Genomic DNA, 14,589 nt, shown 5'->3' with positions numbered 1-14,589 from the left:
TTTATTTAACAGTCTCAAGACCCTGGCGTCCCTTCTCCACAAAGAAGGCAAAGGGCCACCCCAGCCGGGGTAGGAGGCCGCAGGGAGCCAGCTACCGGCCGAGGCCCACTCGTCCCCGCTCCATTCCTGCGTCGCGTCTCCCGTGGGAAGGTGCCGTGAAGACGTTGAGCAAAGAGCATCTTGCGGCTCACGGGGATTTCCCTCGCGTCCAGGCGAAGTTTGGGTTGGAAGTTGCCAGATGGAAACTTCATTTTTCCTCAACATTTCCTGCCCAGTTCAGTGTGTAATTGGCTCACACATCCCCTTGGCGGTTTAGCAGAGAGTCCAGCCCAGCGCAGCTTATAAAGAAGATAAATCTAAACAAAGCTGGGGGAGAGCCGTCTGCAGCCACTCACCCTTCTGCTTCTTAAAGAAAAAACATCTCTTCTCTTTGCTGTGAGGCCACGAAGCGGATGCCCCTCCCTGCCCCCAACAGAAGCCTCCGGAGACTTACAGCAGCCTGGGGGAGGGGGGAGCTCCTGGGACCCTCCCCCAACACAGAGAATCTGCAGCTGACAAGGGTGAGCCTGAGCAGATGCTGAAGCCCGGGGGGCTTGTTCCCACCCAGATGGGGCAGGTAAGGGCCACCTGAGGGGGGCTGAGGCAGGCGGGGGGTGGGAGTAGGAGCGCCCCAACTCTCCTACTGTTTACAGTGGGCAGATATTAATTTTTTAAACTGCTTTTTTTAAATCTCCAAAATATTCTTCAATAGCGCACCCCATCTAAAAGATAACAAAATAATCTACTGAAAATGAGAGGCCTCCTTGTTGGGCTTATATTTTTTTATTGAGAATCTTGGTCCCATTGTTGAAAATCAATGAAAGTCCACAGGAGCCAACAACAAACTTCAGTCACTTAGTTTCTTGAAATAATGCAAATGTTTTTCTCCATTTACTGTAAAAAAATTTTAAAGAGAGACTGTACAATTCTGTTAAGCATGCCGCTCATATGTTCCAGACGGGTGGCGGGTAGGGAGCATCAAAGGGAGGGTGGAGCTGCGGTGGGGAGGTGGCCCTGCCTGGTCCCCGCCCCTCTGAGGCCCCTAGTTCCTCTGACTCACCCCCAGGGACATCACCTTGTCACTCGCCCACAAGGGCGGAGATCAGAACGGGCTGGATCCTCGCTCGCCAATGGTGTGAGGCCGAACAGCCGATCGGCTCGTGAAAATAGAGGCTGGAATTCTAAAGAATATTCAGAAATGACCCCATTCCCCGCCATGCCTGCCAGAGAAGCAGCTGGGCAAACAGCAGTGAGCAGGCGGGGTCTCTGTTTGAGTTCATTCCCCAAGTTCCAGGCACCCAGGGGCTCCGGGCACAGACATGGGGGGCTTCCTGCAGCCGGGCTGACACGGAGAGCTCTGTCCAGTGCAACCCTCTCCATCGTGCGGACTCTTACCAGCCCACTTCTCAGATGAGGAAGCCGGTTTCAGAGAAGTGGCAGTGCCCAGCATGGCAGAGCTGGGACTCCAGAGGGTGTCAGCGTCTCCGCTGGACGCCTGCACTCACACTCCCAGGAGGGCTCTGGGGAGGGCCGGGGGCAGATGGAACCTAGAGGGCCTGAGTCCACATCTGCCCAGGTCTGCCCCCAACCCCTCCCACAAGGACTGGCTAGAAAAGTGAAGGCAGCCAGCCATTAGAGAGCATGGGGAGGGAGTGAAATGGGGTTCCAGGAGGGTCTGGGTGGGTGGACCTCGGGGAGGCCTTCTGGGACTCAGCAGTGAGAGAGAGACAGAGACACAGAGAGACAGAGAAGGGGCAGAGGGCACTCTTCCACAACTGGTGGGGAGGCCGCTGAGCTGCTCACAGGACTCTCATTCATGTGGCCCAGGCAGCTCTGACCTTTTTTACCCTGGTGACATTTCAGCGAGTCATGGTGGTGGCCCCAGGCGGGGCTGCGTGAGATCCGGGGCTGCGGGAGACCCAGGGCTGCAGGAGGCAGGGGGCATAGACGGTGTGGGGGCATTGCTAGAAAACCCAGACCACCTGTCCCAATCACTGGACGGCTGTCCAGACAGGAGGTCACAATAGTCCATGGTGCCAGCCTGGCTGGACCAGGCTCTTATCTCCCCGTGCGTCGTCGTCCAGAGCCCCGATTAAGACCGAGGCCACACACCCGAGCTGGAGTCAGGGGCTCCCCCAGCCACGCTGATAGCCCTGGGAATCTCCAGGGAAACCACAGAAGTCACCGTCTCCCTTACTCACTTGGACTTTCAAGGTAGATGCTGAGCAGATGGAGATTCATGGTAGGGCTGACCTGAACCAAATCAGAGTCAGTCAGCCTGGGGGGACCATCCTCTACCCACTGGGTGGCAAAATGTCTACCTATTAGAATTATTTTAGATCCAAGAGTATGTTAATATTTTTTGTGTTAACCAATTAAAACTTTATGTAAAGCTCAAGGTTGTTGTTTTTTTAATTAAAAATTCCAACTAGAGAACTTGAGTTCTGGGGGTCACTTTTCAGATAAACCAGCAAAGAAAAATCTATGAAAGAATTGATAGCTGAACTTCATTAAAATTAACAAATTCTACTCTGCAAAAGACACTATGAAAAGAATAAAAGCCAGCCACAGAATATGCAAAGAGCTCTTAAAACTCAACAATAAGAAAATAAACAACCAGCTGGGCGCGGTGGCTTACACCTGTAATCTCAGCAATTTGGAAGGCCAAGGCCAGTGGATCACTTGAGATCAGGAGTTTGAGACCAGCCTGGCCAACATGGTGAAACCCTGTCTCTACCAAAAATACAACAATTGTCTGGGCATTGTGGCACATGCCTGTAGTCCCAGCTACTCAGGAGGCTGTGGTGGGAGAATCCCTTGAACCCGGGAGGCAGAGGTTGCCGTGAGCTGAGATCATGTCACTGCACTCCAGCCTGGGAGATAGAGGGAGACTCTTGTCTCCAAAAAAGAAAAAGAAAACTAACAACCCTATTAAAAATGGGCAAAAGGCCGGGCATGGGGGCTCACGCCTGTAATCCCAGCACTTTGGGAAGCCAAGGCAGACGGATCACGAGGTCAAGAGAGCAAGACCATCTTGACCAACATGGTAAAACCTTGTCTCTATTAAAAATACAAAAAAATTAGCTGGGCGTGGTGGCACGCACCTGTAATCCCAGCTACTCAGGAGCCTGAAGAACCCGGGAGGTGGAGATTGCCGTGAGCCGAGATGGTGCCACTGCCCTTCAGCCTGGGCAACAGAGCGAGACTCTGTAAAAAAAAAAAAAAAAAAAAGTGGGGGTGGCAAAAGACCTGAACAGACACCTCTCCTAAGATCTACAGATGACAAACCAGCATATAAGAAGCTGCTCCACGTCCTACATCACCAGGGAAACGCAAATTAACAACAACCAAGAGATGCCACCACACACCTACTAGAGCGGCCAAAACCCAGAACACGGACAGCACCGAACGCTGGCGAGGATGTGAAGAAACAGGACCCTCAGCCGTGGCTGCTGGGAAGGCAACATGGCGCGGCTGCTGGAAGACAGTCTGGCGGTTTCTTACAAAACTAAACGTGCTCTTACCACACGGTCCAGCAATCGTGCTCCTTGGTATTTACCCAAAGGAATTTAAAACTTACGTCCACACAAATTCCCACAAGTGGATGTATACAGCAGAAGTGCTTCGGGTGGTAACTGGATAAACCCGAGTCATATTCGGTGCTGAAAAGAAATGAGCCGTCGAGCCGCAAGAAGTCACAGAGAAACCTCAAACGCTATTGCCAGTGGGAAGGAGTCAATCCAAAAATGCTCCATGCTGTGTGATTCCAAACATACCACATTCTAGAAAAGGCAAAGCTATGGAAAAGATCCGAGGTTTCCAGGAGTTTGTGGGGAGGGAAGAAAGGGCTGAATAGGAACACAGGATGTTTAGGGCTGCGGAAATATCCTGTATGATGCAGTAGTGACGGTGGATACAGGACTTTACAGAGTTGTCCAAACCCACCGAATGGGCCGGGCGCGGTGGCTCACACCTGTCATCCCAGCACTTTGGGAGGCCGAGGTGGGCGGATCACGAGGTCAGGAGATCGAGACCATCCTGGTTAACACGGTGAAACCCTGTCTCTACTAAAAATACAAAAAATTAACTGGGCACGGTGGTAGGCGCCTGTAGTCCCAGCTACTCAGGAGGCTGAGGCAGGAGAATGGCGTGTACCTGGGAGGCGGAGCTTGTAGTGAGCCGAGATGGCACCACTGCACTCCAGCCTGGGCGACAGAGTGAGACTCCGTCTCAAAAAAAAAAAAACAAAAAAAAATAAACACCACTGAATGTGCAGTGTTAAGAGTGAAGTATGACCTCTAGTTAATAATGATGGGTATCAGTATTAACTCATCAATTGTCACAAATGTACCGCACCAACATGAGACGCCAATAGTGGGGGAAGGGCACACGGAGGCTTTCCATACACTCGATTTTTCTGTAAACCTAAAACTGGTCAAAAATATAAAGTCTATTAATTTTTTAAAAATTAGAAAATCCAGCCAAAGTTGTTACAGTTTTTTGTTTTGATTTCTGATATAGAGTCTTGCTCCGTCACCCAGGCTGGAGTGCAGTAACGCAATCTCGGCTCACTGCAGCCTCAACCTCCTGGGCTCAGGTGATCCTCCCACCCCAGCCTCCCCAGTAGCTGGGACTACAGGCGTGCGCACCACGCCCAGTTAATATTTTGTATTTTTTGTAGAGACAGGGTTTCGCCGTGTTGCCCAGGCTGGTCTCGAACTCCTGGGCTCAAGCAATCCTCCTGCCTCAGCCCCCCAAAGTGCTGGGATTCCAGGCGTGAGCCCCTGTGCCCGGCGCAGTTTTTATGTTATCTTCAGGATTGAGATCCTCATGTGTACATGGTTTGGGATCCAGAAAGCCATAGTTGTAATAAAATAACTAGAATATGACAGGAGCAAAGCAGGAACGGCCCTGAGGCCCATCACCATCCCCCGCTGGCCGAGAAAGACCGTGTTCTGCCCTGGGGCTGAGGGGCTGCACCGAGGGCTGCGGGGGTTGGGGGTCTGTTTGCCTCATTCCCCAGACATCCCCAATGGACACGTGCACTTGCCCATCACACCCAGACCCAGCTGCCTGTGCGTGGCCAGTGGGACGAGGCCTGGGGGAGGCAGAGGGCAGTGTGTGAGAGTCAGCAGAATTCTTGTGGGGCTTTTACCTCGGCCTCCGGAGACCCCACCCGGTGTGCATGGGCCTCCACATATGGCTCCAGAGAGGCCGAGGCTGGTGTCTACAAAAGCTGAAGGGCCCCAGGTTCTTGGGGACTCCTGCTCCCAATCCACTCTATACCAGGAACAGTCCCCCAAAATCGGAGGTGAGGCTCCTGGCGGGGCTCGAGGGGTCATTGAGGGGAAGAGCCCGGGGTTTGGACTCCAGACCCCAACACTCAAAGGGGTTTCAGGAAAGTCCCTGACCTCTGGGGACCCCATCAACAAAGCGGAGCTGAGGACCCCTGCCCTCCGCCTCCACTTCCTCCAAGACTCACAGATAATGGAGGGGGTGGGGGTGCTAGGAGATACCCAGCCCTCAGCCACAGCTGATGGCCCCAGAAAGTCCGTCCTCTCCACCGCATCCACCAGGGCTTAGGGTGGCCAGCGACAGAGGGCTCTGGACCTTAGCAGAAATGGGGCCTGGCGCTGGGGACCCCGGCAGGCTAAGCCCCACCCAAGTCAGTGTGGTTAGAGTTTTGGACCCCTAGAGACTCAATGCCACCCCCAGCACCAAGAATAATTTCTCAACTGGCCCCGCTCCTCTGGGCCAGGCATCCAGAGCCATGGGTCCCAAGAGCCACCCAGGTATGCGTCCGAGTTCTGGCACAGGAGGGGTTGTGGGGAGAATCCGGCCCTCTCCACTTCGGGACGAGAGGCAGGGGTGTCCACGTACCAAGACCCATGCACACCCAACGGCACAGCGGCTGTGGAGGGCAGGGCAGGGCCCGCTCCTGCTGGGTGACTCAGGCGCCACCCTCAGAGGATTAGAAAGCCTCCTACCAGCCCCGTCACAGGCATTCCCACTGGGCATCGGCCAGGGCAGCTATCTCAGGACCCTTGATCCCAGAAGCGCTTGAGCGGCTGAGACAGGTGGGTGGGTCCAAGTCCCGGCCCTTCCTGCCCACTTACAGCTCAGCGAGCACTCGCCCAGCTCAGCCTCGGGACAGAGCCAGAGCAGCACCGGCCCAGGAGGCCCCACACGCCTGCCCCGAGGTCCCCAAGGGGCTCTCGGCGTGAACCGCGGGCCTCAAGGCCCCAGAATCCTGTTCCTGGGGCAGGGGTGCAGTCAGTCCTCAAGAGAAGACTCTGGGCTGGCGCCCCCCACCCCATCCTCTTTCCGGTGCTCAGGGAGCTACCCCGGGAGGGAACTGGAGAATGTCCAGCCATGACCTGAATCTTGGGGTCCTCAGAGGGACTCAGAATCTTCAGACAGAACCATATGGTCTCAGAAGGGCCATGCGGCTGGGACCCTGCCTCCTCCAAAGTCCTATGGTGCCCGGCTGGGGGCCTTGGTAGGAAGCCCTGATCTTTGCCAGCACCGCCAGGAACAAAGATGACACCTGGGTCCCCCCTCACAGAGGCAGAGGACACACACTCCTGGTGGCTCCTTGGGGAATGAACACTTGCCGAGAGCCCTTGGGGGGCCCAGCCCTGGATGCGGGAAACCCACAGCTGCTGCCTGAGCTGGTAAACCCTCTGATAGGAGCGTTCAGGGGCCAAGCACCAAAACGAAGGCTTGGGGACACCTGGGACACCTCCTAAGGTGGGGTGCAGTGGGGTGGGGTGCCCTGGCCACCTGCCTTGGCGTCCATGGCTCCCCAAGTACAGCTGCAGGATCCGAGCTGGGAGGGGTAGCTCTCCTTCCTGAGCAGGCGCTGGGGTCCGGGGTCAGCCCACAGGCCTGCCTGTACCTGGACCATAATGTCCTCTTCCCCTGACAGCTGAGCTGGCAGCTGCCCTGGCCGGCTTTTGTGTGCTGTGCTGGGGCGGCCCCACAGGACACCCACGTCCTGTAGTCCCAAGGAGACCTCACTGGCTGGGGGCCCAGGGATCCTGGGGCGGACCTGCTGTTCTTCCTGGGGGCATGGGGGAGGCTGTGCGGGGCAATGGAGGAGGCTGTGAGGGGGGTGTGGGAAAGCTGTGTGGGGGGCATGGGGGAGGCTGTGGGGGGATGGGAGAAGCTGTTGGGGGTGCATAGGGAGGCTGTGGAGGTCATGGGGGAGGCTGTGCGGGGGGCATGGGGAAGCTGTGTTTGGGGCATGGGGGAGGCTGTGGTGGGGAATGGGAGAGGCTGTTGGGGGTGCATAGGCTGTGGGGTCATGGGGGAGGCTGTGCGGGGGATGGGGGAGGCTGTGAGGGGGTGTGGTGAGGCTGTGAGGGGGGCATGGGGAGGCTGTGGGGGGGATGGGAGAGGCTGTTGTGGGGGCATGGGGGAGGCTGTGGGGGGCAGGGGGAGGCTGTGTGGGGAGCCGGACCTCATGGCACCAGTTCTGCAGGATGTGGGGTGACTTGGCTAGTTTTGGAACCCCCCGCCCCGTGGCTCTCGGTGAGGGGTGAGTGGAGGGGAGGCAGTGAGGACCCTGCAGCTGAGGCGTGTGCCCCACAGGCTGAAGGTCACCCAGGGCAGCCACGGAACAGAAGATGGCCTGTGATGGCCGTGGCACAGGTGTGGCTGTAACAGCCCGGCCACCTGAGATCAGAGCTCTTCTCTGTGGGAATCGGTCTAGAAGGTCGGGGGTCGGGTGGGCGCTGCCTCCTTCTTCTTCCTTCTCCCAGGACCCCACCCTGCGACCCCCGCACACAGGCACAGGCCCCACCCTCCCCACTTCCCAAAACCCACTCCTCCCCCGTTCAGCGCCTGTCGAGCCACCGTGAGGCCCTGGCTGAGCACTGCTCGGGTGAGGACAGGCTCTCAGCATCAACCCACTTGCAGATCAGAAAGCTGAGCCTGGCACCTTCTCAGAGCTGAACGTGGGGACAGGGCTGGAACGCAGAGGGGCTGTTTCCACAGCCCTCACGACGAACCTATCCCTGCTGCCCCCACTGCCCCACTCATTCATTCATTCCACCAGGCCTCCGCCTGCATCCTTGGTTCAGTCATTCACAAGCATTTTTAGGTGCCTGCTGTGTACCTGGCCCGTGCAGGGTGAGTGGCTCTGGTCCCCCTGCAGCTTCCAATCTGATGGGCCCTGATATCAGAAGCCCATGGCCTAAACCAGCTCTAGACGGGCCTGCTCTGGCCTGCATGGGTCAGTGTCTCTGACCTCCCAGGGCCCCTCAGTGGGCACCGAGGGCCATGTCTCCAGATGGGCAGATGCTCTCCGGCTCCCCACAGTTCTCACCACTCCCTGCCCCTCGTGCCAGCCAGCGTGCTGGTCATGCCTCTGTGGCCTTTGCATCTACAGTGTCCTAGGCAGGACCCTGCACAGGGCTGGGTGTAGCCAGGGCTCAGGGGTCTCAGGCTGGAGGACAACAGGCCCCCATAGTCTCCTGCTGGGTGGGTGTCAGAGGTGGCTGTGAGCGTCCCCAGGCTGCACGCCCAGCACTGATGAGCCCGCAGATTGGTGCTGCAGACAAGCCTGTAGTGGCAGCGGTCGCCATGCATGCACCAAACCTGCTGAGTGGCCGCCACCTGGAGTCTCCACCCAGCGGTCAGCAGAGGGACCGACTCCAGGATGGGGCAGACTCGGGCTCCTGGCTGAATTCATCTGGGATGTGTTTCCCTTCGCAGCGATAAGATAAATGTCTACAGATTTACTCTTAACTTCGGGACCTGGAGAAGCTCTCGGTTTAAGCGGAATTATATCATTGGCTCAATTAATGCCCACCAAAAATTTTACGCCACGTGCGACAGTCACACAGCACCTGTGAAACTAACAGCTGAGGCTATAGCCCGGGAAACCTCAGCTCTCGTGGGCTTGCCAGGTAGTAAGTACCCAAAAGCTGTGACTTTATTCTCACCTGCCTCTGTGGAGGGGGCAGCGCCCCAGGCTGGAGACCCCAGGTCCTAGGAGCCTGTGTGGGCACCAGCAAGGTGGGGACAGGTGGGCGCGGGGCCGCCCCCTTCAGCCTGCGCCCGCAGCTCTGTGGGCCCCGCACCCAGGGCTGCCTTGAGGGAGCACTGGCTCTGTGGCCATGCTTGGCTCTGCGCCTCTCCACCTGGCTTCACTGATTCAGTACCTCACTTCCTCTCCCTGACACGCATTCTGCGTGGAGCTGAAATGATATGGAAGGTCCTCCCCATCCCCAGGCACCTCTGAGCCAGTAAATGTGGGTTCTTCTGGAAGACTTGGCCCCGCCAGTGCACCTACGGAATCGCGACCATGGGGTGGAAGCAAACATCTCCCCTGGGGACACCGAAGCCCAAGTCAAGCCCCAGCACTGCCGACTCCATGTGGGTGACCGTGGACAAAGGGCTGGGCCCCTCAGAGCCTCTGAGATGCAGAGTGGGTGACGTCCAGGTCACAGGCTGCAGCGAGGTTGATGCCCAGGTCCAGCACTGACGCCCAGCCCGCCCAGCCCAGGTGACCACATCCCCACGGCTCTCGTGGCAGAAGCACCTTCCCTAGCACCCCTACACCCCTGGGGTGAACCAGGCCCACCTGCGGGTTTCCAGGTGGACGGGCAGAGCCAGTGAACAGCCTCGGATAAACGCGTCACACTCAGACGCGGGCCGGGGCCAGGGGTCTCTGACGGGGGTGGACCCCCATCTGCAGAAGTTTCTGCACAATCTGTGTCTTGACCTGGGCATCTGTGAACCCTAGGCCATTCCATGGGGCCACCAAGAGTCTCAGTGGTGATTTTAAACTGTCGCCCTCGGCAGCTCAGTGTTCACAGTCAACACAGCAGGCTCCCCGGCCCCGGGGCCTCAGGGTCCCTCTCCCATCTTGAAGTTCAGCCATGCCCTGGACAGAAGCCACATCCTGACTTCCAAAAACGCAATTTCCACTCTTCTGTGAGCCTGGTGACAATAACAAAAACCAGCTTCGGTTTCACGTGGACCTGGTGTCTGGGGTCAGCAGGAGTGAGAGCACTGACCCAACACCGTTCATCTCCCGGCACCTGGCGACCACCCGCCCTGCCTGGTGCATTTCCTGTCTCCTGAGCATCTCTGAGCTCAGGACCCTGGGCAGGGTGTGGGGCATCCGGTACAGGTGGCTCCTCCCGACTCCCCTCACCTCTCCCAGGGAAGGGACCTCCAGCCAGGAGGAACCGGGAGCACCTGTGTGGGTCCCAACACCGAGCAGCCCACAGTCTCCCCAGCACCGACAGGCCCCCACGATGGAGAGAGAGCAGGGCCAGGGTCGGACAAAAGCAAGTCTGGGAATGGCCGGGGCCGCCAGCCTTGACCTCCAGAGCTCTGTTACCGTGACTACTGATGCCATCGTTGTTCTTGTTACTGGTTTTATTTTCATTTTCTTCAAAGACAGTATATCCACGTTTGTTTTTCTAAAATCTAACTGCGCCAGATGGCATAAAAAATGAGTCTCCCTCTCAGCCCTGGAGGTTCACGGCCCCTCCCTAGTGGTCCTCACTGTCACCAGCCTCTCCTAGGCCCCTGGGCATGGATTCAGCTCCCCCAGGTTCCCCATGATGACGATGTTGTTGTACACGTTGATGCCGTCACCCCCACAGAAGCCCCAAGAGGCCAGGGACACTAGGGCTCACAGGCTTTGCTCACCAGGGCACAGGAAGGACCAGACACTGTCTGAGCCGCTGACTCAGTGTGGCCGAGGCCTGGCCAACCCTTCACAGGCAGGTGGATGGTGGTAACCCAGCCCTGCCTCCTTTCCCCGGCGGGCCCTGGGCACCCTTCCCTCCCCTGGCCTCAGCTTCCCCACCTCAGACCCTGCCTCCTCTCCCTGGCGGGCCCCAGGCATCCTTCCCTCCCCTGGCTTCAGCTTCCCAACCTCAGAGTAGGGGCTAGATGGGGTGGCTATCACGTCCCAGCTCCGAGGCCTGGCAGAGGGTCCTCAAGCCTGGAGAGGCGGCGTCCCTGCAGCCTCACGCACCCACGACAGACACGTCCCTTCCCCTGTCCCATGTGTCATCGCCCACGGGATACTGCAAAAGTTAACATCTTTCCCAGCAGAAGGTCACAATGTATTTGCCTCCCTGTTGAGATCAACTGAGCCTCCAAGGCCTGGCTGGAAAATAAAGACCCCAAATGAAACTGCCTCGCAAATCATGTCAAAGGTCACAGGCACACCCAGGAAGGCATGGCTGATGTACCTGTGCCAGCTCAGCCTCCCCCCAGGGAGCCTCAGGAAGGGCCACACGGGGATGGGGCTGGGGCTGTGGGCCAGGGCTCCTTCGCCGGCTCTGATCCAGTTCCAAGGGATGAGGGGTGACACAAGGCCATCCCTGCTCCAGGAAAAAGCCCTCTCCTTCCTCCATGAGCCCTCTCCCTCTGCGGGGCCGTGCCCACCACACAATGCCAAGCAGGGCAGGGAGCTTCCCGGTGGCCCCAAGTGACACCACCCCCATGCTCACCAGAGCCTCCTCTGGCCAAAGGGCCCTTGCCCCGATTCCCGGCTCCCGTCCTTCCTATCCCAAGAGTCCTACTGCCTTCCTTGGCCGTGGACCTGGACCTGGTCTGACAAGAGAAACGTCAAGAGCCTCTTGATGTGCAGAAGACCCCGGGCAGGACACACTGGCAGACACGCAAGCAGACACGCGGGCAGGACACACAAGGAGACAGGGAGCCACTCCCCATGATGACGATGTCCTGGCCTGTCCACGGCGGCCACCATGGCTCCGGGATGCTCAAAGTGAGCAAAGAAATCAACGTTTGTTGTCTGAGGCCACGCGGACGTGGGGCGGGTGTATCTGTTGCTGAAGTGTAGCCCGGCCTGTCCTGACTGATATGCCGCCCTACACCTTCTTCTGGAACATTCTGCACATACTTGCTAAGCTGCTACTCTGTACCCAGCACTGCTCCAGGCACCGGAGTAACATCCATGAACGAGCCAGCCTCTGCCCCGGCAGAGCTCCTCGGGGGAGAAGCAAACGGCAAAGAAACCAGCGCGAGTGCAAAGTGCAGCTGAGGAGGAGGACAACGGGAAGGAAGTGGGGGCAGAGAGTGCTCCAGGCGGGGCCTGCAGACCAGGAGGGTGGGGAGACCCTCTGAGCAGGTACCAGGACCTTCCCTGCAGCGTCGCAGGCAGCCGGCAGACAGGCACCTCGGACTGGGGCCTCTTTACCTCTTAGTTCAAGGATCCCTTTGAGGATCTGACGAAAGCCAGCTCTCTCCCAAAATCCCCCATGAGTTCAGCCCCGGGGTACTTTGCAGGCAACCTGAGGGGGATCATGGCTCTGAGTTAACCCCCAGCTCAATGGTGCCAGGACACTGCCCCAAGACAAGCCCCCCTCACTCCCTGCGAGTGAAGCCTGGGGCTTCACGCTCCTGCTCCAGCCACCACCACCCTGTGCCCCCAATCACCGGGGAACCCAGGCCCAAGTTCTCTTCCCAAGCCATCCTCTGAGCACTAGGCATGACTTCAGAGTTATATTAAGGAGCAGCAGGGGGTGGGTGGGGAGGGCTGTCTGTCCCCAGAGAAGACCAGCGAGAAGCAGTTGTCAGAGGAGCTGGATTTATCCCTCCCGGTCAGCTAATGGGCTTCGGTTACAGTCCTCAGCAGCCTGGACAGGAGCAGACAGGCTGCGTGTGAGCCCTGCCATCCATGCCGAGCAGCTGCAGGGATTGATCGAGGAGAGTGGTTTTCCTGTAGAAATGCATTTACCATACTCAGGTTAAAAATAGCCACGGAGCCACAGCACTGAGGTGCAGCCGCTGGAGAGCAGCCTCGGCTCACTCTGCTCGGGCACAGGGAGGGCCACAGAGGATACTTCCGAGACAGGCCTCGGCCGGGCTCCATGCTCGGCTCCGGGCACCCTCCACCCTCACCCAGACCTGGAGCTGGGCAGGAAACCAGCACAGGCACTAATGCGGGGCTCTACGGCTGCACCTGCCACCTGCCCATGTGCAAAGGGCTTAACCACCACGGCCTTTTGGGGGACCATGGCACCAGGGACTCGGTAGCGGCTACTGCCCAGGCTTCACAGACAGGCCACTCCACTACCATGAGAGCCACCGCCCCAAGCCCTGCCTCTCTGTCCTCTCCAAGGTCGCGGCAAGCCTGGCCTGGACCAAGGCATCCCGGCTCTCCAGCCATGCTGAGTGTCCTCTGGCCATTTTCCTGCTGCACCCAGGACTGGTTGGCCTGCCCATGGGCAGTGGGAAGAGGTGGCATTTTGGGGAAGTCTGTGCTGGCCCCATCAGCACAGGGAGGAGCTGGATAGCTCGTCATGGCTATTTAAAGCCAGGAATGGACAGGTGCAAGGCGTGGGGTGGGGATCTGAGCCAGGCTGGAGGAGGGGCTGCCATGGGAGGCTTTACACCCTGGGGCAGAAGGCACCCCAGAGGATCCCGGACACCCCTGCACTGGGGCCAGGGTGGTCCCACCGCATGCTGCAGTGGGAGGGTGAAGCCTCAGCGCCAGGCAGTAGGGAGGTGCCTGGCTAAGTGGGGGATGGGCTGGGGCGTGGCAGAGCCAGGACAGCCTGACCCTCACAGAAAGCTGAGTCAGACTGCAGCCTGCTGGCCTGGGCCGGCCTGGGGGCCCAGAGGCCATTTACAGGGTCCCTGAAAAGGCCAGAAAACACTTGCTCCCTGACATGGGAAATTCCATCTGCGAGGCCAAGCCTTTCATGCTGTACCTTTCCAAGACATCTTCATCAGCATCAGGGCCCCTGCCAGAGGTGGGCCTGGCCCTTCCTGGGTCAGGTTGTGGTTACTTCACCCATCTCAGCCTCGGTTTCCTCATCTTTAAAATGGGGGCATGGCAGCACCCAGCCTGCCTTTGTCAGGTGTTGGTGGCATCAAAGGGCCCTGGACAGACAGGCATGCTGGCACACAAGTGTGAACAGAGGCTGTATCTCCCCCAGGAGGGGTGGAGGTCAGGAGGGCGAGAGGGCATCGGGAAGAGCGAACAGAGAGGCTTACGGGGGACAGCTTTGCTCGGGCACCGTGGGCCTCTTCCCTGCCTTCCTGCCCCAACTCAGGCCCTGGGGCAGCAGGGGGAGCTAAGGGTTCTGCCTTGCCCCTCTGGCACACCCAGCCCGGACTCCCACCTGGGCCTGACCTTCCTCACCATCAGGGCAGGTGAGAGGACCCACAAGAGGGGATATTCCTAGGGAACGTGCTGAGTTCTGGGAGTAGTTAATCAGCAGAAGGATGGAGGAGTGGAGGGGTAGAGGATGGAAGGGTGGAGGGAGGGAAGGATGGAGGGGTAGAGGATGGAAGTGTGGAGGGATGGAGAGGTGGAGGATGGAGGGGTGGAGGGATGGAGGGGTGGAGGGGTGGAGGGTGGAGGGATGGAAGGGCGGAGGGGTGGATGGGTGGAGGGGTGGAGGGTGGAGGGATGGAGAGGTGGAGGGTGGAGGGATGGAGAGGTGGAGGGATGGAGAGGTGGAGGGATGGAGAGGTAGAGGGATGGAGGGGTAAGGGGTGGAGGTGTGGAAGGTGGAGGGGTAGAGAGGTGGATGATGGAGGGATGGAGGG

The 14,589-nt window shown here is 58.5% G+C and overlaps 1 annotated feature.

Annotated features, from left to right (window-relative positions):
• Window positions 12,854-13,663: an enhancer, noted in NCBI's record as "H3K4me1 hESC enhancer chr20:61086501-61087310 (GRCh37/hg19 assembly coordinates)". NCBI's record gives its function as "activates a minimal SCP1, AML or CMV promoter by ChIP-STARR-seq in naive H9 embryonic stem cells {active_cell/tissue: H9 hESC(naive)}" and the evidence as "EXISTENCE:reporter gene assay evidence [ECO:0000049][PMID:30033119]".

This window comes from Homo sapiens, chromosome 20 (genome assembly GCF_000001405.40).
Source record: "Homo sapiens chromosome 20, GRCh38.p14 Primary Assembly".
NCBI lineage: Eukaryota > Metazoa > Chordata > Mammalia > Primates > Hominidae > Homo > Homo sapiens.
Note: the sequence above shows the minus strand (reverse complement) of the source record. Positions and strands in the feature narration are given on the sequence as shown.